Here is a 26,659-nt window from a genome sequence, read left to right on the forward strand (position 1 = left end):
GCAGAGGCTGCAGTGAGCCAAGATCATACCAGCCTGGCCTCAAAAAAAAAAAAAATCTTTATTAGACACTGGGCATCACAGGGTAGCAGCATTTGTTTTCTTATGACCAAATTAATGGTCAAATTGTTTTTTACCAAAAGCAAGTTTCTACCTTATCAAAAGTAAGAAGTAACACAAAGTATTAAGTAAAAATGACAACGTAAGGATGCAGAATATTCTCGTTTAGGTTTTAAAAAAATACACACAGATATGTGTATATATATATGTGTATAGAACTTTTGAAATCTATACATATTCAGTTACTAATTTAAAAAATCTAACAGACTTTTACTTAAAAATCATTTGAGAAACTTTTGAACCCCTTTCTTTGAAGTAGGCAGAAGTCCTGCATTGAAAAACAAAGTACTTATTTAAGAACAAAAGGATTTCTTTAGAATTTTCCAAGTTATTGCAGCTTGTCAATCCCTCCCCCCACAGTACCGCAAAGTAGTATATACAAAAGGATAGGGGGAAAACGTGATTTTCCTTAACACTGGCCAGTGACACACCTTGAAGCCACAGTTGGTTTAACTGAAGCCTATAGTGATCAACTGTGCCTTTGCAGAGTAATTTAACTACTCAACAACTGGAAAGAGAAACAAGATTTAGTGAAAAAAGCACCATGCTGACGAACAACAATTATTGCCCATATTAAGCTCTATTTTCTGAGTCAAAGTTTGGGTCATGTAAAAGTAAAACTGGCCCCAGAGAAGAGAACCGTTTCTCACAGATTGCCATTTAAACCTCAAATGACCATGTTTCACAGCAGGCTGAATACATTCCAGCATGTAACTGCATTTTAATTTCCTAAAACCACAGGATATAAGTCTGATTTCAAATAGTGTCTGGACTGTGATATTCAATACTGATAAAACTGTGTGGTATTCTCTTGAAAGTTCCACAGATTCAGCATATGAAAAAAAGATCTTCAATTTCTTCAAAGCACTTATTCTCAAAGAAATTTACTTCTTTCTAAATGAATTCTAAACAATGTTAAGAGCTAAAGCTACTGCCATAAGAAATGTAACCTACTAGTTACAGGAAAAGAACATACAATATATTCATCGCTCACCAGGATACAGTATGTTCTTGACAAAAATGGTCATTATGAGACTTTAAATCTTTTTTGCCATGTTTGTTAGTATTTATTCTGGAAAATAATTTTAAAATCTATTAACATGAATGTTTACTTGAATGTCTATTCAATGGATGGAAATTATTCAGTCACCTTCTCAACTTTATAAAAGGAGAATTTGTTTAGTCTCTAAGTATTATGTAAGAAGAAATGCAACCTTTAAAACTGACCAATAAGGAAAAAAAGAAGGTGAAGCTATCGTAAGTTGGGGGATAAGAAATTTAGGATCATAATATAATTGGAATGCAACTTATACAGAAACAGTTTTATATGTGAATATGAAATCTTTTAGTAAGATGTTCAGCAGTTTTCATCATAGGGACTAGACTGACTGACCCTAAAAAAGCTAGAGGGGAAATTTCTTTTGAGGGAAGAGAGGAGAGTAGATAAGTATATGCTTTCTCTTATAATACTATTGCCTTTGGCTCTGAGCCTGACTCCAAAATTGATTGACAAATTTAATGTTTGTTTTTAAGCAACATATCTGATCAATGAGGTGTAACTTTACTCAGAATGAAACGATCAGACGCTGGCTAATAATTTCAGGTGTGGGAACTATAAAACTCTGGTTATTCTAGGAAACCTAAACATCTAGAAAAACAGGGGCTAATGCCAGGGTACCTGGCATATGAGTCAGCTGGGTCCCTATGGTCACTCGTCATCAGGTTCTAAGGTATCATCATGTGTAAGAAAGAGTCACTCTTGATTTCATAACAGCTTTTCAAGGAGGTAACAAAATACATTACATGGGCCAATTTTTTTACACAAAAAACCTGATTTGTGAAACAAATGCACATCTTAGAACTGAAGAAGTTACTGCGTCCCTTTCCCCACCCCCTTATCTTTCATTTGGTTTTGCTCCATCTACTCCTCTCTTCTCCTCCAGACTTTCCATTGATCTTTCCTTCTTTTTTCCCAAACTTAGACAACGGGTGGTAGCTAGAAAAATGTTTATACTCTTAAGAAATATGGATCAGGCATCTCCTCTGTGGTGGGGTTCTGTGAGACCTCAAAGTTCAATTAAGCACAACTGAGAATATCAAGGAACTTTAAGGGGAAGACAAGCATGTCAACTTAATGCAACCCATCCTGAGAGCATCAGCACCTGTGCCTGTCTTACAAAGCCACGGCTAAATGCCGTGAGGACTACAAGGGCTGTGTGGAGGAGGGCTACTTTGAACTGTGAGTGGTACTTAGACTACAGGGAGGTAAACAAAACTGCACGATTTTGCAGAGAGGGATCACAGTAAATAAAAGTAAATGCAGACAAAAGCCTGTGGCATATATAGGATGCAGCATTCTAATTTGGCTAGTGACCACCAAAAAACAGTAATAGGGGGCTGTTCTTAGCATGTTTATCTCATTTTAATCCTCATTACAGCTAGTAGGTCCTATTATTACCTCCATTTTAAAAGTGAGAAATCTGAGACAAGGGAGATTATTAAATTGCCTAAGGGCATACAGTTTACCAGCTGATCATGAAGCCAGGATCTGAATCCAGGAAGCCTAACTCCAGGGCTATGCTTTTTTTTTTTTTTTTTTTTGAGACAGAGTCTTACACTGTCGCCCAGGCTGAAGTGCAATGGCGTAATCTCAGCTCACTGAAACCTCCACCTCCCAGGTTCAAGCGATTCTCCTGCCTCAGCCTCCTGACTAGCTGAGATAACAGGCACCCATCATCATGCCCAGCCAGTTTTTGTATTTTTAGTAGAGAGGAGGTTTCACCATGTTGGCCAGGCTGGTCTCGAACTCCTGACCTCACGTGATCTGCCTGCCTCAGCCTCCCAAAGTGCTGGGATTATAGGTGTGAGCCACGGCACCCAGCCAGGGATATACTTTCAATGTCTGTATATACTCTTAGTACACAGAACATCCAAAGGGGAACAATGGGGAACAAAATATGGCTGGGACTATACTGGAAGGGTACGCCAGAGATACAAGTAGAAAGTAAAAAAAGTATTGTCACAAAATCCATTACAGTCTGTTTGCCTCCATGAAACCATCCTACAACTTTATTCGGTCCAGTTGGTCAATATTTCCATCTTCTCTACATTGACTAAATAATCCATCTAGCAGACAATTTTTAGGCACCGTGATAGTTGGAAAAGATATGGATATTGATATCAGCCCCTCAAAGCATATAAAAACTAATCTAATGGGAGAAGCTAGGTCAGTAAGTGCACGAGCACGTGAGGTTTCTTAATTTTGTGCCAAACTGCGTGAGTTTGTGTGCATGTGCAAAGTCTTCCTCTATCTTACACACACACACACACTCATGCACAGCATACTCTATAATATACAAAGCTACCTGGACCCTGTTAAGAGCCACAGCCACACACACATGGATCATAAAAACAAAGCCAATGATTTCCAGCTGAGCTCAGCTCCAAACATACCTGCTTCTGGGTCCTGGTTGAAACGGCAGTACTTGGAGTTTTCAAGTGAAGGCAGGCATTGCTCAATGGGTACCCAAACATATGTCTCAGGGCACAGCAAATCAGAAGGTCTATACTGACCCTGAAGAAAAGTGAAGGAAAAAGGCACAGGCATTATTAACACAGCAATGCCAGAGATAAAGGGATGAGGGCTCTAGGAAAGGTTTAAAGCAAAAACTTAAAAGTCAACCAGAAACTGTTTTACTGTAAATACTAAGCAACCCTGTAGCTGATAGTTTTCCCATCTCATGAAAGCACGTTTGACTCAAGGCTCTCTGAAAGTTAAACACCACGACTTAGGATGCCTGTGTTGATTTGGAAAATTCGAGTTTTTACTCCCTTTTGGAAGAAATATTCAATGTGATTCTTGCTGAGCTGACTTGAGAATAACCAGTTTCAAAATTGTCTTTCAAATACTAGTTAATTAACAAAGAGAAGTTTCTTTTCATGTATTAGAGCACTGTATAAAGTGAACTTATTTTTCAACATGGAATTTCACTATCCTTAATGACAAATTTTTTAATTTGTGATTTGTAGACTCAGTTGATAATATTCATTCTTCTCTAATGTAGTAGAAAGTACTGTTTTATCAATATACTTCTATAAGCAATCTAAACTGATAAACGTATAATAAAGAGAAGTTTAAGAAACAAGTTTCAGGGAAACATCTGATAATCCACTGAACTTTCTTCAAAAATCCCACTTAAAATTCCATTTAAAAATTTTATGTGTACATATATATGTGTATATATATATGTGTGTGTACATATATGTGTGTATACATACATATATGTGTATATATGTATACATGTGTGTATATATGTATATATGTGTATATATATGTATACGTGTGTGTGTGTGTGTGTGTGTGTGTGTGTGTGTATATATATTTTTTTTTTTTTTTGAGATAGATTCTTGCTCTGTCACCCAGGCTGGAGTGCAGTGGTGCAATCTTGGCTCACTGCAACATCTGCTTCCTGTTTTCAAGTGATTCTCCTGTCTCAGCCTCCCAAGTAGCTGGGGTTACTGGTGTATGCCACCACGCCATGCTAATGTTTGTATTTTTGGTAGAGAGGGGGTTTCACCATGCTGGCCAGGCTGGTCTCAAACTCCTGACCTCAGGTGATCCGCCCACCTCAGCCTCCCAAAGTGCTGGGATTACAGGCATGAGCCACCGTGCCTGGCCAATTTATATTTTTATAATCCAATTATACACCTCAAATCTAACACAAAGACTATACAATAGATGCTAAAGAAAAAAAATCATTCACTTAATGGGGATAATGAAGATGGTACAAATTATTTGAAAACATTTTGTGAAAATTTTCATAACTATCAAGGTTTTGTATTCTTTGAGCTTATTTAAAATTCCAAGTGTCTCGCTTCTAAATTTTAAAACTTATTATAGAGGTTAAAATCTAGTATAGTGTTTTTCAATTGTTTTTTACTACAACCCATAGTACAAAATACATTCTATATCACAGCCTAGTAAACATATTTGCAAACATAAAACCAGAAACAAACCTTTTAGTATACAATGCTTACCGATGTTATGTTCTAGTCTATTTTATTTCATTTTTCAAAAAATGCTGCTCATGAACCACCAAAACTGCTTTTACAAGCAACAAATGAGTTACACCATAGAGTTTGAAAAACACCAGTGCAAAACTCATTACAAAGAATACAGCCTAAGAGCTCGGCAGTGATTCTGTTCGACGGAAAGGCTCTATACCAGGTGCTGTGTGAGTCACCATATGAAGCATAGATACAAAATGAACACCACGTCCTATTAGCTCGCAAAGCATTCAGAAGTCTGGAAGCCAAAAAGAGAGGCTATACATCCACAAAATGTGAGGAAACATTCTTTCCTGTTTGAGTGGCTGGGAGAGGGTTCAAGGAGGATATGGGGTTTTATTGAGGACTTAAGACTGACTGAATTAAGCCTAGGGTAGGATGAAAAGAAATGAGAACAATCTAGATAAAGGGAACGGCATAAACAAAGACACAGAGTTGGGCCAAGTAGAAAACTCCAAGGAACAGGAAATGGCAGGGCACCACAGCGATGGAACAGTGGGATGGATCAGATTCTGGGGGACATTCTGGGCAGCAGTCAGATGTTTGGAATTTTCTTCTAGATGAAATGGGAAGGCTTGTTGGATAAGAGGGAGAGTTTTGTTCTATTCCAATAGGAGCAGATAACAGGGTGAAGACCAGAAGTCAGGTCTCTGACTCAGCTTTCCTGGAGTGCTCACTGCACTGTTGCTGGTTCACTGCACTGTTGCTGCCTCACTGCCCTACAGCAGTAGAAGGCCATCTACCACGGGCAGCTCCAGGTGGTCTACAGACGCATCTAATAATATTCAAACACAGAATTAGGAATGAATTGAGGATTTACTTAGGAAGTGTAATAAAGCCAGATATTTCACTGCTATCTATCTTATCAAAAACAATGGCATTATCTCCATTAACTCAGAAACTGTTTTACTGGGGGAAAGGACATGAATCAGAAAACTAGACAGCATCCTAAAGCTGTGCTTCTAAGTCTGTTTTTTCCTTCTTGGTGATAGATCACTTTGCAAATCTGACGGAAAAAAGGCTAAATATAAAAGCTAAAGATATAAAACTTCTGGGGAAAAAAAAGGACTAAATTTTCTTGACCTGGGAGTATAGAAGTTTTCTTTTGTAAACAAAATGAACCAACCATAGAGGAAGAAAACTGATGAACTATACTTCCTCAAAATTATCTTCAAAAAAACTACTAGGAAAATAAATAGGAAAGCCAAAAACTGGGAGAAAATTTTGACAAAACATATATTTAAAAACAGACTTGTATCCGGAATATATAAAGAATTATAACAACTCAATAATAAGAACACAATGCATTTTTTTAAAAAAGGCAAATCACTTAAGCACTTCACCAAAGATATATGAATGCCTAATAAGCATGTGAAGAGATGTTCAACGTTGTCAGTTACCAGAAATGCAAATTAAAACCATAACAAATTATCATTATCACTGCATGTCCACTAGAATGGCTAAATTTTAAAAAGACGGAAGAAACAAGTTTTGGTAAGGATTTGGACTAATTAGAACTTACATATTGTTGGTTTAAAATGGTGAAACACTTGATAAAATATAAATATTCTTGTACATATCATTTGTGAATATGCCTAGGATAAATTCCTTCAACTGGGAATGTTGGGTAAAAGGGTTTTAACTTTTATAGTGTCAAATGACTTTCCACAGAAGTTGTGCCATTTTACATTCTCATCAGCAACATTATGCTCCCAAGTTGATTTCCCTCACATCCTTACCAAGATAGTATACTACCAAAACTTTCCATCTTTGCTGTTCTAAAAAATGACATTTCATGTGGTTTTAATTAGCATTATGTATCTTCATATATTTAGAGGAATTTGCATTTTTCTTTTTCATAAAGTTGGCCCATTTTATTGTTAAATTGCTGGCCTTTCCTTATTAAACAATTCTTTATATATTAAGAACTCTTTATATATTAAGCCCTTGGTTTGTAAAATATGTCACAAATCTTTTCCAAGTTTATATATCTTCTGACTTTCTATGCCATACTCTTACGCCATATGAAAATCTGATGTGTGGTCAAATCGATAATTTTTAAAAATGGGCTCTGGGTTTACACAATAATTAAGACGGCCACCCTCACTTTCAAGGTTATGAAAGCATACTTTCATATTTTTTCTAGTACTTTCATGGTTTCATAATATTACATTTACATTTATGCTCCATCTGGAATTTATTGTGATATAAGGTATACAAAAAGAATCCAACTTAATTTCTTTCAAATGTTTATTCAGTGACCTCAGCATCATTTTTAAAACAATCTTCATTTCCCCTGCTAATTTGGTAACTTACTGAATTCCCATATATAGGGAAATCTCTTTCAAGACTTTCTACGTATCCTGTTATACTGACCTGTCTTATCAAGTACCAGTACCACATAGTTTTAACTATTAAAGCTTTATATTATATTTTAACATCTTGGAGATTTAATTCCCCCTCATCACTCTTCATTTGTAGAATTTTCTGGCTCATTTTACTTAATTGTTCTAGGATTCTGAATTTGGTACAAAAATATTACCAACATGAATAAGGAAACACTAATAAAAATGGAATAGCATATCTTGATCTTTGTGACAGCAGAACATAAAAGAAGAGAATACCCAGGCTGGGCAACACAGTGAGACCCCATCTCTACAAAAAAATTTTTTAATTAGCTGGGCATGGTGGTGCACACCTATAGTCCCAGCTATTTGGGAGGCTGAGGTGGGAATATCTCTTGAGCCCAGGAGGGTAGAGGGTAGAGGCAATAGTCAGCAGTGATTGTGTCACTGCACTCCAGATCAGGTGACAAAGACCCTGTCTCCAAAAAAAAAAAAAAAAAAAAAAAGGAGAAGAGAATACCAAGAATGTCTGGTAAAAAAAAAAAAAAAAAAAAGAACATATGTATCATCTCAAAAAACAACATAAGACCTTAAACATACGAATGGCCCCATTTTCTAATATAAGGTGGAACTGAATGCTCACTGGCAAAAAAAGCACAGGACAAATATCGAGGGTGGAGATGGGGGTGATCGGACATCAACTTTTGAGTCCTTAAGGTTAAAACAGAGCCTGTTTTCCTTCATAACATAAACCTTGCGGATACGCAGATTCATCAACAGCCACCTGAATCCAGTGCCTAGATTTAACAACGATGCTGACCATCAAGAACATTTAGTCGGCTGGGGGCGGTAGTTCATGCCTGTAATCCCAGTACCGTGGGAGGCCGAGGCAGGCAGATCACTTGAGGCCAAGAGTTTGAGACCAGCCTGGCCAACATGGCGAAACCCCATCTCTACTAAAAATATAAAAGTTAGCCGGGCATGGTGATACGTGCCTATAATCCCAGCTCCTCTGGAGGCTGAGGCACAACAATCGCTTGAGCCCCGGAAGCAGAGGTTACAGTGAGCCAAGATCGCACCTCTGCACTCCAGCCTGGGCAATGGAGTGAGTCTCTGTCTCAAAAAAAATAAAAATAAAAATTTTTTAAAAAAAGAATATTTAGTCAATGAACATTACATAAATCCTCACTATGTAACAGGCACTAAAGGCTGGAACAAAAAGATGAACAAATGCATGCCTCTCGATAATTCACAACCTACTGGGAGTGATAAAGCTGGATAAAGATGAAGTATGCATAAAACATAAAAAATATGACAGTGTACAACTGTCCCAAGTTTCTAAATTTTCACAGTGCTCTAAGAAGGTAACACCTGCTCATACAATGATATTTCACTTTTTAACTCTTTAAATACTCAGTTTATCTCACTCGAAGACCATAAATGCATACATTTTAACTTCTGCTCATCATCTGAAATCACGTTTTTAGACTAGGTTAAAACATTATTTTTCTTCTAAGTACAGGCTCATTTCAGTGTTTCAGATATTCTCACAAGCCGTCAAAGAATTGAGATTTATGAAATAAACCACTTTGAAATGTTATGCTTTCTAAACTAAGCTGGTCGAGAGTTAAATGACCAAAGTGCTTAAAGCTCAATTCAAAGTCACCATCACACAAACGAAAACACAGGGGGTTGAAAGCTACCCTGCCTCTTCAGCTAGTATAAGAAAATGAGAAATGTTTGTATGAAGAATGTAATTACTTAAGGATTTGGACATAGTTTCCCATGGTCAGAAGAAAAAATATTTAATCAACCTCTAAGTACATTCATTCAGATTGGAACAAAGAGGTAAAAGCAGATTAATTCTTTCCTAGGGTGCTGACTTTTTGTAAATAAGAAGAAATGAGTTACCACAGATTTTCTAAGTACTCAAAATTTTGAAAATGTAATTGGTCTGACAGGGCTTCTCTCACAGTTTTTTGGAGAGTTCTTTCAATCCACAATTTTAGAAGATGACTGCTAGACATCCTTTGCAAGTCCTCAGAAATTCAGCCGTCCAACAAGAACAAAAGGAAATCTTACCAAGCAAGGGCACCTATTTCAAGAGGGAAGGCTACCACAGAGGATAACATAGTTCAAGATAAGATGCCTGAAAAAGTTAAAAAATAACGTTTAAAAATACTAAACATAGAGAAAGGATGCTTACTTTTTATTATTAATTAAACATTTTTTTGGTGAGGGATCATCACTCAGTTCAAAGCCGTCAAAGGGAAAAGTTCAGCAAATCCTATGATTCCTGACTTCACCAAACGATTTTAACTTCTGCAACTATTTACAAACTGTTTTAGAACTGGAAAACAAAACTCAAAAACAAAATGAAACAAACTACCTATGCACGTCTATATTTTCAGTTACCACAGAAGAGTTAATGTTTTACACAAAGTAGAGCTGTAATATTCAATGGTCTTTTTCTTTGATGAAAACCACTTAGACTACTTGTAAGACTCAATTAAAAAAATTAAAATATGGCCTCATAATATTTCAATTAATTTTACTAGGTTGTCATAGAATGAAAATCTAGGAAATGCCAAAGTTAAATCTAAAACATTGAAAGGAGAAGAAAAACACCCTAGCTAAATGCACTTCCTGCTCTATTTCTATTAAAAAAGACTGTGTCTTCTGGAAGAGGAGATCATATACTTTTGGTTTTTGGTTAATGGAATGAACAAAGGCATTCTTCTCACTTGCATGCTTTAGCCTATAATTTGAAGAGCATTATCATATTGATCCAATTTCTTACCCTATAAAAGAATCGCAAAATAAATACATGGAAAATATCTTAGTTTAACAAAATGTAACAGAATTCAGCCTAAAAATTAAAATCATTTTGATAGCCAGAGGTTAAAAGTTATCTCACTATCATATCTTACTGGATAACAATGAACACAAGTATAAAAGGACATATGTACGTGGAAAAATTGGATTTCACAATTAGTAATAATTTCAGCAGAGATACTTTAAAGTCGACGAACGTCTTTTACTTCTAATTAAAACACAGCAAACAACACTAAGAGACTTTCCCTCAGTTAAACTGTAACTAGTTAGAAATCTGAATTTTCAAAGGCGAAAGTTATAAACTGATACAGAGGAGGAGCAAAAAATGTTTCCAGCAAGCCCTAGTGATCCATTTTTTTGCAATGTTTTCATTGATGTAATTCATATACCATTAAATTCACCCTTTTAAATTGTACAATTCAGCACTTTTTGTTTTCATAAGGTTGTACAAGCATCACCACTATCAGATTCCAAAACATTTTCATCATCCCCAAAGAAACCCAGTACCCATTAGCAGTCACTCCACATCCCCTTGCCCCCTAGCCCCTAGCAACCATTATTGTGCTGACTATCCATTTAAAAATAGAATATTTCCTCACATACCACACTTCCTATTTGAGTGGGAGTAAAAAAAAAAAAAAAATACGAAGACATGGCACAGCCTATAAGGCCCTGAGTGGCACGGCCCATGTTACCCTTCAGACTGGTCGTCTACCGCTTTATCCTCCTCCATCATGTCACCTTCGCCACACTGGCTTCCTTGCGGTCCCTTGCACATGCTAGGCCTGCTCCCACCTCAGAGATTCTCACTGACTGTTCTCTCTTCTGGTCACAGCTACTTTAAGTTTTTGCTCAACGTCACATTCTCAATGAAGCCCACCTATCCTCCCTACCGTTTTACTTCCATGGGGCTTATCACTGTCTAACCGTCTTGTTAATTTCCTTATTTATTTATATCTATAGAAAACTACTTGTTAGAATGTAGAGTCAGGGATTTTAGTCTAACTTGATCACTAATGTGTTCCAAAACCTGCCCAGTAAATAACTACTGGGTGAATGAACAACGACCATAGTACACTCCACCTATACCATTTCTACTTCCACTTTCTAAACAGTGGACATTACTTTAACACCTTCTGCCTTGCTCATTAACATGGCATGCATGAAGCAGTATTTGCTGAATTTGTATTTATGATGTGGCTCCCACATGTTCTTATTATATAAGAATAGTTCTCAACCTTTGGGAATTCAGTGAATTATCACCAAATGCTAGAATTACAAGGACATAATCAAGACAGGGGCTATAAGAGTTACTGAAATTAAAAAGGGGGTTTTCATACTCAAGAAGGTTAGAAACTACTGGCTCATGTCAATTTAAAGTTTTTTTGAATTGAAAGTATATGCCAATGAAATAAATTTATCTCAAAAGAGATGTACAGCTTTTCATATTAATTTTCACTTTAAAAAAGAGAAGGAAAGGCAACTTCTGAAAGGGCCTCTTCATCTGTTAGGAGAGTTGAACAATGCCACTTTGGTGGGTAACAACAAAGACAATAATTACTTCTCTCTGTATTTGTTAAGAACATAGTCCTCATAATAATTCTGCACATTGTCTGAGTTAAATCTCACAATAACTTTAAAAAGTAATGAAGACAGGCCGGGTGCAGTGGCTCACGCCTGTAATCCCAGCACTTTGGGAGGCAGAAATGGGTGGATTACTTGAGGTCAGGAATTCGAGATCAGCCTGACCAACATGGTGAAACCCCTTCTCTACTAAAAATACAAAAATTGTTGGGCGTGGTGACACACGCCTGTGGTCCCAGCTACTCAGGAGGCTAAGGCAGGAGGATCACCTGAACCCAGAAGGTGGAGTTTGTAGTGAGCCAAGATCGTGCCACTGCATTCCAGCCTGGGTGACAGAGTAAGACTCTGTCTCAAGAAAAAAAAAAAAAAAGGTAATGAAGACAGACATTACTTCTACTGTATAGATAAAACAATAAGATGATAAAATAGTAGTGATGAACTGAGAGCTAGACTCTATTCCTATTCTCATTTCCTGCCTAAACCTTAAAAAAACAAAAGCACAATTTTTAAATGTATTTTCAAAATAACTTCCGAAAACCTTAAAAATCACAACTCAGTTCAATATACACAGGGACTCCGCTTGACATCAAGGAGGAAAAGACGAAAAAAGCCTTGTGAGGTGCTCATTCTCTGCTGGGGAAGAGGAGGCAGTTGGCCCCAATAACGTTCACAGCCATGATCAAGAACGGGTGGTGGGCACAGGCTGCTACAGAAGCACGAAGGAGCTGGAGCAGCCAGCAATACTGAGGACAGCAACAAGAGCTGTCAACAAGCTGTGGTAGAATGCACAGGTGAAAGAATCAGCTTTCTCTGAAGCAGCAGCTGGAGCTTCCTCAGAACAGGTCCCTCCTGCAATATGTCTTACAGGCCAAGTAGCACCATGTTTAGGAAAACAAAAAAAAAAACAGGCACTCACCAATAGCAAATACAGATCCAAGACCCATACAGCTGTCTCCCTCCTGAGCTCTCAAATACCTGTCCATCAAAATTTCACCAAACAGGAGATGAAATGAGAAACAACTGTTTCATCTTTGCAGCTAGCATGTGGTCCTGTGTCTACAGTTTCAGGAAGCTTCAAACTTAAATTTATATCCAAAATGTTAACGTTAGATTAGTTATAAAGAGTAACTCCATCTTCTCTCTGAACAAATGCCAATTTCCATAAATTCAAATTTATTGCCAGTAAGTGTCTTGGTATTAGCTGGAGAAATATTATAAAACTCATGGTTTTTAAATTACATTATGGTTTCTTTTATCTGATTACATCTTCCTATCTTCCTAGATTTCCACAGAAGTACTTCTTACAATTGAATATACAATTCATCAGAAATAAAAGAAAAACCTATTATTTACATTATAATGGAAAATTCCCTATAACAATACTGAAAAATGCACTGAAGTTACTAACAACCCCTTTTTAAACAAATCCTGTGTTAAAAGGTCCACTCTTTGATTACGATAGTAAATCCAGAAATATGTGATTTTAATTTTAAAGGGCTTTAACATCTTTTTAAAAATCTTTCTTTTTCCTTTGGCCTTTATAAGAAGACGGATGTGAAGCCCTATGTATTCAGAACTACACAGGTTTACTAATGTGACATGTAAGAATTCTCTTTAAATATTATACTATTTTTTAAGTTTAAACATGCAAATGAGAAATTATTTCTTTAATTAGAGTTAAAGCATTTGAGACTTTGTTATTTTTCTCAGACAAAAAAAATCAGAAAAGAAATACTTTCATATGATATTCAACCAAGTTAGCATTCTTGGCTTTTAATTGGAAACATCTGGGGATGGGCTTGGCCGATTGCAATAAAATTGAAGTTACCAATTCACGCCCTGCCATTTTGATGGCACTTTGTTTTTACAGTTTTCAAATCAAAACCAAACGAACTTTCCTTTGAACTCTGGTCCTGCACCAAAGATCTTTATGAGATTTCACTCTCAAGAATACTTTATAAATATTTTGAAGAATAGGAAGGATTTTATATTTGAAAAGAGGCTAAACCAGCAGTCTATTTTGAAAGTTCAAGTTAAATTAAAATGTAAGTACACCAAAAAGACAATATTATTTAAATACACACACACACAGCCACTGAACATTAGTAGCACTGAACAACAACAAAAAAATTAACTAGATAAAGTTTAAGTCTTTTATCATGTAAAGTTGACACTAGTATCCCAATTTTCTACAATAAATCTATTGATTGTACTAAAACCGACTGCTTAAAGAGATGCTCTAACAGTACATAAACAAAAGTAGTTCAAAATAATTCATTAGAGTGGGCTGTACCCCCAGAGAAAATGAGTAAGAATAAAGGCTTATTAAACCCAGTCTTTCCCCTGAAAGACAACACCAGTGGAATCCCATCCACAAAGTACTACAGCAGACCCCTTGCTCCCTGATTTCATTACATAAACAGAGATTGACTTTATCAGTCCCCAAGAGAGTGCTTTAGAAGTAACTCTAGCTGCTCTGTTTTCAAAAACTGTGTTTGGATTGTGCCATGCTCAGTTGGCGAGGTGAGCTGAGACCAGTAAAGACAAAGGACCTAAACATCTGAATCCATTTGTGTTCCCCAAATTCTGAAAGCCAACAGATGTACTCCATGTGCTGCTAGGCTAAGCTTTGAAAATTTAAAAATACATATTTTTTCCACTGACAAACAGAAAGTGACGGTATTCTGTATTTCTTTAATTAAAATCCAAGCGTTCTCAAAGGCTCCGGGACTTACTTTAAAGCTTCTTTAAGACTGAGCTATTTATTTTACTATTAGCAAATAACAGAGAATCAAGATTCTAATTCAGTTTTAATCACAATCTTTGCTTTTATTTTGGAAACCCTGAGTTAATCTTTTTTCTTCTAAAAAAGACAAAGAAACCTTGTGAAGCAAAGATTCAAGGAGTCAACTTACGGCCCAAATTTAATTTCAAACTGAAGGGTCGTAAGTTGAAAAGGATTTTTAAAATAAGACATAGAATGAAAGATGAAGACAAAGAAGATAATATAAAGAGAGAAAGAAAAACTCTAAGCCTCTTTAGTTTCTGTTAAAGATTAAATATGCATATGAATATTCATATATGTGTCTATATATAAATTTGGCATTCACCATGTTTGTAAGAAGAACCAATTTAGGTGTTTATTTGCTTTTTTAAGGCTCTTTCTTGGAAAACAGCACTTAGAATCACTGGTTCTGCCATTACCCTAGCTGAGGCCACCCTCACCTAGACAAGAGTGAGGGGGCTGACTCCAAGTTTTCTCCTTTGAATTCATCCATCCTCCTACTCCTGCTAGAGAGAACTGATCATGTAAGTTCCCTACTTAAAACCTCTTACTGGCTCTCCAATATCTATAAGGAAAGTAGGAAGATCCCTTTTTAAAGTTAAAAAAAAAAAAAAACATGGGCCTTTTGTAATTTTAGTTACAGTTGATGAGAAATTACAATGAGATAAATCACTAAAAATTCATGAATGCTCTTAAATGAGTCTGGATATTACAAATCCCAATAGAATCTGTGTTTGTAAAATAATAATAGTACTATACTCACAAGTGTGTGCCCTTAGTCTATATCCACTGCGTGCAAATGGATTCACAGCCCTTTTGCCAAAGCTCTCCAGTCGAGAGATAACCTGTACCATGTATCTGAGTCCATGGCACAAGATTTGCTTTCAGTCTACTTTCTTACCTTTAACTCACTCACCCCGGGGTACTCACAGGCTATCTTCTGCCTGGCAAGGCTACCCATTTGGTCTCAATGTCTACTCCACTTTTTTTTTTTTTTAAGAGAATCTTGCACTGTTGCCCAGGTTGGAGTGCAGTGGCACCATCTTGGCCCACTGCAACCTCCGCCTCCTAGGTTCAAGTGATTCTCCTGCCTCAGCCTCCCGAGTTGCTGGGATTACAGGCGCCCACCACCACGTCTGGCTAATTTTTATATTTTTAGTAGAGACAGGGTTTCACCATGTTGACCAGGCTACTCTCGAACTCAAGACCTGAGGTGATCTGCTGGCCTCAGTCTCCCAAAGTGCTGGGATTACAGGCGTGAGCCACCGCACCTGGCCCCTACTCCGTTTTTGAGACCCAACCTAAAAACTGCCTACTCTTACTTTACCAAGCTTTCCTTCGACTCTGCTTCACCTCACCACCCACTGCTCCCATCCCCAGGCTGAACCATCCCCTGTGCTGCCAGTCCTGCATTCAATGACTCATTATTAAATGCCTACCGTCTTCCACGTTCCATACTAAGGACTTAAGCATGGTCCTTAGCAAGGTCCTGGGCATGCCATGGTGAACAACAGCACTGCCAGGTTCAGTTCTCAGGGACTTTCTAGTCCAAAAGGGGAGACAAACTTTAAGGAAATAATCATACAGAAATGTTATTACAAAGTATGATAAATGCTATGAAGAAAAAGCATACCAATACAATGGGGAAATCTAATTTAGATTGGAAGGGTCAGCGTTGACGTCTTTAGGAGATATCTAGATTTCCACAGAGGCCTATTCTAGAACTTAATACAATCTATTGGAGTTGTCTGCTTATATGCTGTGTTTCTCTTATTTTTACATCACCCCTCCCCTTCCACCCCCTGACCTAAAATTCAAACTTGGAGTTTCCTAAGAGCTGGGAGTACATCAATTTCTTTACGTTCCCTATGCATATGAAGAATTCCTTGTATGGACCGAATTCTCAATAAATACTTATTCAGTTAAGCTGATTTCTGTCCAATCGTATTTCTTAAAAAGAGAGAACCACAGAATCTTAAAATTGGACCTCAGACTTCCCTAGTTGCATTTAAATATGTTTTAAAAGGAGGAGGGAGGGATATAGAAAAGTTAAGTGACTTGATCAAGGCTAATTACTGGCAAAACCAAGATTAGAACCACAATCTTAATATTCTTTTTCTGTTAAAATTCCCAACCTAAAATCAGAAATAAGTATGAACACCTAAATTGTGTCAGCAATGTCCTATGTTCCTGTTTATAAAGATCTGCCTAATTAGAATCATTTAGGATCTGTCCCCTCAGAAACAAATTGGTTTTATTTTTCAACATTCTTTTTAAAATGTATATGCCCTGAATCAAACAATGCTAAAAAACAGTTTCCTACAAATACACGGCTTTAATAAAGTCAGTAAGCTGTCTCTAACTAATCATATCTCTATCTGGAGCCATGATTTTTTCCAGAATATGAAAACAGAAAACATTTTTCAGTGCCTGAAAGCCTTAATCATAAAGGTCTGTTTAATTACACCCCTGAGGGGAATAAGAAGTTAGCTTTAACCTCATATTTATCCCAGGGGTGTAATCTTTGGTAATCATTCCTTTTTTTCGGCCTGATGGAAAATTCATCACAAATGACTTAAATGCTTCAAGTTTAAGGATAACCTTTCCTCCCTCCACTGTGCAGCAGTAGGGGTTCTGGTAGAATTTACATCCTGTCCCCTTGGATGCCATCAGTATTCTGTGTGTTTCTGCAAGGAAGGACTTGGTAGAAAGTTAATGTAACAGCTTTTGTGTAGTGCCTACACTTTAGTAGCAAGTTCAAGATTATTTCCTCCCTTTCTAAAAATGATCAGTCATGTAACCATGATAAACATGACCATTTTTAACTTAAACATAGTTATTTACAGGTGAGAAAGTCAAGTCAATTTCACAGAATTTTAAATTATTGTGGAGAAAGTATTATGTTACAAACACCAGGGAATTTTGAATGATAACTTGAGAACCCTTAGTTCTTCATTCAATGACTATACCATTAAAATAAAGTTCTTCTACAATGGCACCTATCTTGGACTTTACACCAAAAATGTATGTCCTTAAAATTTTAAGGAGCCAATCATCACCAAACAATAACAATTTAGAGATACCGAAATAGCATAATTATCAGTTTACCACATCAGAACTCTCTGAAAATAGTTTAATAAAATTGAAGCTGAAATCTACAACTTCCAGATGTGGGAAAAGTATAATTTTGACAAGTTACTATTACGGAGAGCCTGAAATTATGGTATTAGTCATAGAGATGATTATACTTTTGGGCGTAAATGTTTGGAGCATTGAGTATGTTTGGAAGCTGTTGAGCACAGGCTGGTGATCCATCAGCTGTTGAGCTATCAGCTTCTGGTGATGAGTGTCTGAGTAATACAATGTGGTACGCAGCACACATTCTAGCAACTTTTTTTTTTTTTTTTTGCACTATAAGCTCGTAAGTCTGAAGATATATAATGTGTTTGAATCTACTACTGTTATCCTTTTGAAGCTCAAACTGTCCACATTTTGGCCAGTGGGAGCTCAATTGTCTCCTGAGAGCTTCCAACACAACCATAGCAGTTTATGATAGCCTCCATGCTTACTAACTTCTTTTTATCTTCACAGAGACTATTTATTAAGGGAGTTTTAACTCTCTGCAGACTCCACTGTGTGTTTGTGAGCAACAGATATGAAAATCTATCGCTAAATAAATATGTAAAGCCTGTACCAGTTAACTTTAGTCTTTGGGAAGTGTATGATTTACAAGCATCTGAGTCTTCTCTTTCCGCAATAACAGCAGGAAGCACTTACACTATGACTGCAAAGAATCACACAAGACAATTAAAAGTAACCCTTCCAAAGTACTTTTAGCAAAAATATCTAGCTGTAATTGTAGGGCATATAAAAATCTAGAATAAACCAAATGTACTATGAGCATGAAATTTGAATAAAATAATAAACAAACGTTTAATTTTTTCTTTCTACAACTTGAAGTTACTAACTTTTAGTAAAGATTATACTAATATATAATTAAGTCAATTTTGGTATTAATTGAAGCAACAATAAGCTAGTATTTATTGAGTAGTTACTATAAGCTGAGCACTATCCTAACTGCTTTACATGAGCTACCTCATTAATCTCCACAATTATCCCATAAGGAGTGGTGGTGATTATCCCTATTTTACAGATAAAGAGATTGAGTCTTATAATGGCTGTACATACATACAATAAAGCATAAAATCAAGATTTGAACGCAGCTCTCGTGTCTGAGAACGAGATCTTAACTCTGCTAAAATGGTACTAATACTTTAAAATGTTTAAATTGTATAAAGAAATGTATTTACAGTTCAACTGTCAGCAGCTTTTCATTAAAAGAATGCATACATATTTATATTTTAAATATTTACAAACAATTGGAATCACAGAATGTTTTTAAAATCCTTAACGTTTGCAAGAAACTGTCAAAAACAAAAAGAACCTACCACTGGCAAAAGATTGTGGGCAACAAGATATTCAGTCTCCAAGTCTAGCCCCGCAGACCACTATATGACTATTTATATTATACATTTAGTAAGTCAAAGGAAAAAAGCAGCTTTACAGTGGAGAGTCTGGTAGATGTCACCTTAACCAAGTGAGCAAACTTACTATCACCAATACTTGGACAAAATGACAGTAAGGGACTCCTAATGTGATGTCCTGAGACTGACACAGCATCACATGGGTAGTATTCCCGCAAAAGTGAGTAAACTTAATAAAATTATAAAGAAACAACCAGACAAATTCAAATTACAGGAGACTAAACTCTTCAAAACTGTTGATGTCATGAAACCATAAAAAGGAAACTCAAATGATACTTTAAAAAACCATAGCAGGTTGGACGCAGTGGCTTATGCCTGTAAATCCTAGTATCTTGGGAGGCCAGGGTGGGTGGATGGCTTAAGCTCAGGAGTTCGAGACCAATCTGGCCAACATGGTGAAACCCTGTCTCCACCAAAAAATATAAAAATTAGCCAGATGTGATGGAGCATGCCTGCACTCCCAGCTACTTGAGGGGCTGAAGTGGGAAGATCACTTGAGCCTGGGAAGTTGACCCTGCAGTTAGCTGTATTCACACCACTGTACTTTAGTCTGGGTGACCGAGTGAGACCCTGACTCCCCCACCCCCAAAAAACCCATAACAAATGAAATACATAATCCTTGATTAAACCCAGGATTGAGGGGGGGAAAGAATAAAATACACTATCAGGACAACTGGAAAATTTCAACATGAACTATCTATTTGATGATATTACTGTAAGAATATTAGAATCTCTTGAGAATGACAATGATGTTGCAGTTAGGTGTGAGAATATCCTTGTTCTCAGATCCAAGCTGATGTACTTGGGGGTGAAATGTCTTGATGTTTGAAACCTACTTTAAATGGTTTAGCAGAGAAAATACACACCTACATACACTTATTAAGTATGCAACACATACAAAGATAAAGCAATGTGCCAGATGTTGTTAACTGGTGACTTCAGGTGAACGTACACGGGTGTTCATTATGCTGTTCTTTCAAGTTTTCTGCAGGTTTGACATTTTTAAAATTTAGGAGAAAAAGTCAGATTCAATGAATACATACTCCTCTCTTCCCTCCTACCAGCATGCATTTGTGCTCCCACAGAATTTTGTTCCTTTTTTCTAGAACTTACCAGTTTGACCGTGCAAGATATTTTTCTAATGTTGATCCTCTCCAAGAGCTCCCTGAAGACAGGGCCTATGTCTAAGTCATCAGTACCAAAAGAGTGACTTAAGGCAGGTCCTCCAAGTACCTCACACAGAGCAGGCCTCAGTAAAAGCTAGCTGAATTAAATATTTGCTTTCCCAAGATATCACGCAGGTGACAATAAAGACTTTTAGCAATACTTCAAAGCACTCACAACAGAGTTATTTCCTGACTGAAAAACTACACTATATAATCCTTTAAATTTAGAATGATTGAACATTGGCTAAGAATCTGAGAAGTTAAATTCAAAAAGAAAGGAAGAGTAACCAAAGGTAATCAAACAATCGCCATTACATTTAGTTTGTAAATCACATGGAAGAACTCACGGTTTATTACTTCATAGAGTATAAGTTTCATTTATGTAAGTAGGAGTCCATTTTAACATTTGTATCCCAGTTTGGTAATACATGTTCTAGAGACACCAGGGCAACTTTATTATTGAACTTCACATAGCAAACTGTACTTATATTATAGCTGATCTTTGTGATTGGAGGAGAATGGCTATAATGCACTAGATGATGCACGTGATGACACTGACTTAGACTATTTATTAATTTAGATATTCAATAAATTAATTTAGATGTTAACTTATTGTATAGGCTGAACTAGCAGCAGAGTAAGCAAAAGAGTGGGTGAGTGGCATACTGTAAAGTGGGGGTCAGCAAGCTATGGCCCATGGGCCAAATTTGGTCTGCTGCTTGTTTATTATGGCCCACAAACTAAAAATGGGTTTTACATTTTTCAATGGTTGAAAACATATCAAAAGAACACTTTGTGATGTGAAAATTACATGACATTAAAATTTCAATGTCCATAGAGAAAGTTTCACTGGAACACAGCTATGCCCATTTGTTCACACACTGCCTGTGGCTGCAGAGCCTGAAGTATTTACTATCTGGCCCCCTACAGAAAAAGTTTGCCGACTCTTACTGTAAAAAAATGTAATTGCCAGAGGGAGAGAGAGAAATGCCGATTTCCAGGAGACAATTGGGGGCTCAAGGGTCTGTTTATCTTGTGGTATTTGTGGGGATCTACACATCTGTAAACCTTTCTACACGTATAGTATATTTCAATAAGGATTTATTTAAAACTCCTCTATTACTGTGAATTTGTAGATGTACGAATGTTTCTCAAATTAAATATATAAAACAGCCATGTTTTTAAACCCACTGTCAAAATCAGGGTTTGATCTGTGACAAAGAATCCGGACTTTGGATGACCAGATATGGAAAGTACACATATCAAGCTGGGCAAGATTTAGAGAGGGTTCCAGGAAACAATGAAAAGCAGTCCATGAAGTAGACAGCAACAGCAGGTTACAGCTCAAGCAACAGGAACACTAACAGAAGATGGGGTTCGACAGCAAGATCCCAGGATCGAGGAGGACTGGAAGAGTGAGGCAAATTAATATAGCTCGTGATTTAACTCTTCAGTGGCAACCGTGGAAGCATCTGAGCACACATTCTCAAACTCCACTCATATGCAAAGATTAAAGGTTGTAAACTATCCGGCAATATCCACTTGTTAGACCTATTAATCACAACTTGCTTGATATCTTCAACTATAAATATTATAGAATAATTTATAGCAAAAGCCACCTTATTTTAAGTGAACAGGGCTAACAGTGGTGAATTAATAAAAAATGCCCATTACACTATGTGTGTGGGAAAATTCATACAAATATATGATACGGTTGGGAAAGGAAGCAGTACTTAGCAGCCTTTTCATGTAACTGTGAGTAATCTTTGATACTACACCAAAATCGCACTAGCAGTTTCCACAAGTAATTTCTTAAAGGTTATTCCCAATGTGAAATCCAAAGTCGTATCTCTGAACTTTTTCTACTCTATAGAATACTAAACTCTTTTGATGTATCTTGCACTTTGATTTTTCACCCATTTATGATCTGTAACATAATACATCAGTTATTTTGAAAGTACTGATTCACTGAGTTAGGCAGATCTCCCAAATGTTGACATGTTTCAATGGCCAATTATCAATCATGTTTTCTAGCATCACCACTGATCTCATCAGAGAATTCTTTAAGTACTAGAAACGATTAGGTCCATAGTGATGAACACAAGTTTTCCAAAACTGTCATTTTTACTTGACAGCTTGAATTTTATCACTGGCAACAAACAGTGTCAGCTGTTTTCCTTGAAGTGACAAGTTTGCTACATTCGTTTTGAGAAAATGTCTCTCAAATAGCCAGGTCTGAATAACCAAGTCAGTTGTTTTTTCAAGTAAAAAAAAAAAAGCACCCAATGACAAGAGCAGCTGGTTTACAGTTTAGCATACAACTCAGCTACACGAGTGTTTTTCCTGAGACAGCTTTTGTACTTTGGGATGCAGCACAAGCACTTTACATATACTACCCATTTCATCACACTGAATATGGGGGAAAAAACACATGTACTTATAATTAAATAATCTTTATTGTTTCATCAAGAACATTCTTAAGTAAAACTGGCATTATTTTTACTGCGAGTGCACCGCAGCTACTGGTATGTTTCCATGCCTTGATTCGTGCTAAGACGCTAGCAGTTTTCCATCACAGTTGCTTTTGTATAATTAATGCAAATGTCAACAGGGAAAAGGGCAAATAACACAGTATTATTAAAAAGATAGTTTTGATGTCCTGGACATCCAAAAGGCACTTAGGGACTTACACATCAAGAAAAAAAGTTATGCAATGAGGTGGAAGAGACTGGGACATTCAACATTCAAGGGGCAAACAGAAGAAGGGCTGGTGAAGATGAAAAAGTGCAGTCAGAGAATCGTGAGGGAAACCAGGAGTGTGTGCAATTTGGAAAGCCACAAAAAACAAAACAAAACAAAACAAAAAAAAAAACAATGCACCCAGAGGTTAGTGGTCAACAGTGAAATGCCAAGAAAGATCAACACTGAACATCTCCACTCTGCCCAGGTGAGGAAGGTTTACTGAAGGCTGAACCAGTGATGTCCAATTAACCAGTAAGAACCACAAAAGAGCTCTGGACATTCTGAAAAGAACAACTCTGCTACGAATGTATGGCCCGTATTTTGGATAAAACAAGGTTTACTGCAGAACAATTTTTATACTTTCTTTAAATATCTATTCCTTTGCTTAATAAGCATGTGTAAATTATTTGGTTTTCTGTCATGTGATATAAAAATCCTATTCAAAGTTCTTCAGCCTTTCGGGGTAACTGCTAAATATGTTTTTTGTTTGTTTGTTTGTTTTTTTGAGATGGAGTCTCACTCTGTCACCCAGGCTGGAGTGCAGTGGCACAATCTTGGCTCACTGCAAGCTCTGCCTCCCAGGTTCACGCCATTCTTCTGCCTCAGCCTCTCAAGTAGCTGGGACTACAGGTGACTGCCACCATGCCTGGCTAATTTTTTGTATTTTTAGTAGAGACGGGGTTTCACCGTGTTAGCCAGGATGGTCTCGATACCCTGACCTTGTGATCTGCCCGCCTCAGCCTCCCAAAGTGACAGGATTACAGGCGTGAGACACCGCGCCCGGCCACTAAATATGTATTTTTAAGAGTAAAGTTCTTCTGGAATATTACATATGACTAGTATGACTGAAACATCAATACCTTCCTCCTATCAAAATCAAAATCTCTCCATTTAGTATATAACTCTAACTTAAAACAAATTTTTTTTTGTTTTTGTTGAGACAGAGTCTCACTGTGTCGCCCAGGCTGGAGTGCAGTGGTGCAATCTCTGCCCACTGCAATCTCCACCTCCAGGATTCAAGCAATTCTCCTGTCTCGGCCTCCTGAGCAGCTGGGACTACAAGTGCATGCCAACATGCCCAGCTAATTTTTGTATTTTTAATAGAGACGGGGTTTCACCATATTGGCCAGGCTGGTCTCGAACTCCTGACCTCGAGATCCACAAACCTCAGCCTCCCAAAGTGGTGGAATTACACGTGTGAGCCATCACGCCCAGCCAAAACAAATTTTTTAAAATAAAGTTTGCCATTTGATGTTATAAAGGACATTATGGGTCGAATGACAAAACTGGAATACAAACAGTATATAAAGTATTGTATTGCTGTTAAATTTACTGAAATTGATAACTGTAATGTGATTTATAAGATAATTTCTCCATTCTTGGCAAATACAAATTAAAGTATTCTGGAGTAAAGGACCACTGGTTCAAAAAATAATATGCATGCATATGTGTAAGTATATAAACATACATTCACATATCTGTATATAAACAGGGAGAGAGAGGGGGAGAAAAGAGGGAGAAAAAAATGACAACAGATATAGCAAATGGGGTAAAATACTACCAATAGGTAAATCTGACAAAAGAGTACACTGTACCGGTATTCTTTGTACTATTTTTATCCTTCCAACTTCTCTGAAAGTCTGAAAATATTTACAAATAAATAGTTCAACAAAAAGGAAGGCTTTTTGAATATTTGGCTATTAATTGTAACACAATATGAAACTAAGCTGTCTGGTTTTATTATCTTACTTGGAATACTAACTGAAGGCCTTGGGCTATGTCTGGGAATGTGACGTTTCCAAAGCAGACCTGGATTAACAAAACCATACCTTTCCCCATGCTCGGAAAACAAGTAAAACTGCTTACCAGATCCTCATGCAAGACTCACCAATCCTACTAAACTGACCCTAAAAAAGAATTCAGCAAAACTCCTGGGAATGAATTTATCTGATTTAATCTAAATTAAGACAATAAAACTACTTAACTATGTCTCTACATTTTTTTCTAGAATCCTGTATCCAAAAAAATATGAAAAACTATTATCACACTCTCATAGTGTTTTCCTTGAGAGCTAGGGGCAATGTAACTACGTGGTGCTATACTGGAATATAAGACCTTGAATACGGAAAGGGCAGAAATTTCCCTTCTATGAACCTTATTCCAAATTCTTTTTTTTTTTTTTTTTTTTTTTTTGAGACAGGGTCTCCCTCTGTCACCCAGACTGATAGTGGGCACTATCTCAGCCCACTACAACCTTTGCCTCCAGGGCTCAAGTGATCCTCCTGCCTTAGCCTCCCATGTAGCTGGGACTACAGGCATGAGACACCACGCCTGACTAATTTTTGTATTTTTTGTAGAGACTGGGTTTTGCCATGTTGCCCAGGCTAGTCTGGAACTCGTAAGCTCAGGCGATCCACCTGCTTTGGCCTCCCAAAGTGCTGACATTACAGGCATGAGCCACTGCACCTGGCCCAAATTCTTAACTAAAATATGTAGCCACGGTATGTTGACTCTATAACAACAGAGGCACACAAATACCACACAGGAAAAATATCATCTTTCCTGTTTACCCAAAACAGATGGGAAGAAAATTTACAATTTAAAAAATCAATAAATGGCAACAAAGGGAGAAATGGGGGGTGGGGAGAAGAAGGAGGAGGAGGATGTCCTTATTCTCCCAAGACCCCCTTTAAGTCCTTCCAATTCCTGGCCTATCAAGGTAGTCAGGCAGCACTTAAAAACTCTTCCTCCCTCGAAATTCACAGAAGTGCAGCTGGTTAGTTTAAGTAAGTTCTACATTTCTGATGTTATGTTTTGCTTATTATTATGGTCCCTAAAAAATTAATAAAAATGTTATTGAAGAATTTGCAAAAAAAGAACATAGACATTTTCTGATTTTTTATAACAATGGCCTTTCCCTTCTCTTCCCTCCTTCACTATAATTTCATTTGTAAATCAAGTTCAAAACTCCGTGTAGCTAAACATGCAAGCAGCAAGTCCCTAGAAAAATTATGGCTCAAATTAAGTTAAACTGGGATAGCTCCAGGTCACAAAAGTAATGATTAGCTATCTAACAAAAAAACTATCAACTCATTATCATCACCTTGATCTCAGTTTTCATTGATATAGGCCAAAACAGCTGAGACATCCTCTGTTTCTTAGATAGGACAGTCGTATACCTCTTTCACTACAACTAACATTCTGTTTGTCACTGATACTTGTTTGTTAAAATTCTCAGGGAAGAAAACCTAGACCTTATTAATCTGTTTCACTATTTTAAAATTTGAAATAATAGAATATTCTCTACCATCTGCTCACGTCAGTTTTAAGTCAATGTTTTTATGTAGCCATTTATCTCACTAAATATGAAATCAAGCCCAACACAAACATGGTCCATCAAACACTCTTCTGAATTCTGCATCACAACCCTAAGGACACCACCTTAGAAACAGAGGATGAAATGTTTTACTCTCT

At 36.9% G+C, this 26,659-nt stretch overlaps 1 protein-coding gene across 35 annotated transcripts in view; it reads right to left on the reverse strand.

Moving 5' to 3' along the window:
• The window catches only part of ATE1 (arginyltransferase 1), a 188,040-nt gene that overhangs the window by 46,175 nt on the left and 115,206 nt on the right, over positions 1–26,659 (reverse strand). For all 35 annotated transcript variants that reach the window (NR_110006.2, NM_001439381.1, NM_001439374.1 and 32 more), the window contains one exon: positions 3,571–3,691. Coding sequence is in view for 34 of the 35 variants with exons in the window: in NM_001439381.1 (NP_001426310.1) it covers positions 3,571–3,691 (121 nt within the window). In the remaining variant the exon portion in view is untranslated. The remainder of the gene's footprint in view (positions 1–3,570; positions 3,692–26,659) is intronic.

Source organism: Homo sapiens, chromosome 10, assembly GCF_000001405.40.
Source record: "Homo sapiens chromosome 10, GRCh38.p14 Primary Assembly".
NCBI classification, from domain to species: Eukaryota; Metazoa; Chordata; class Mammalia; order Primates; family Hominidae; genus Homo; species Homo sapiens.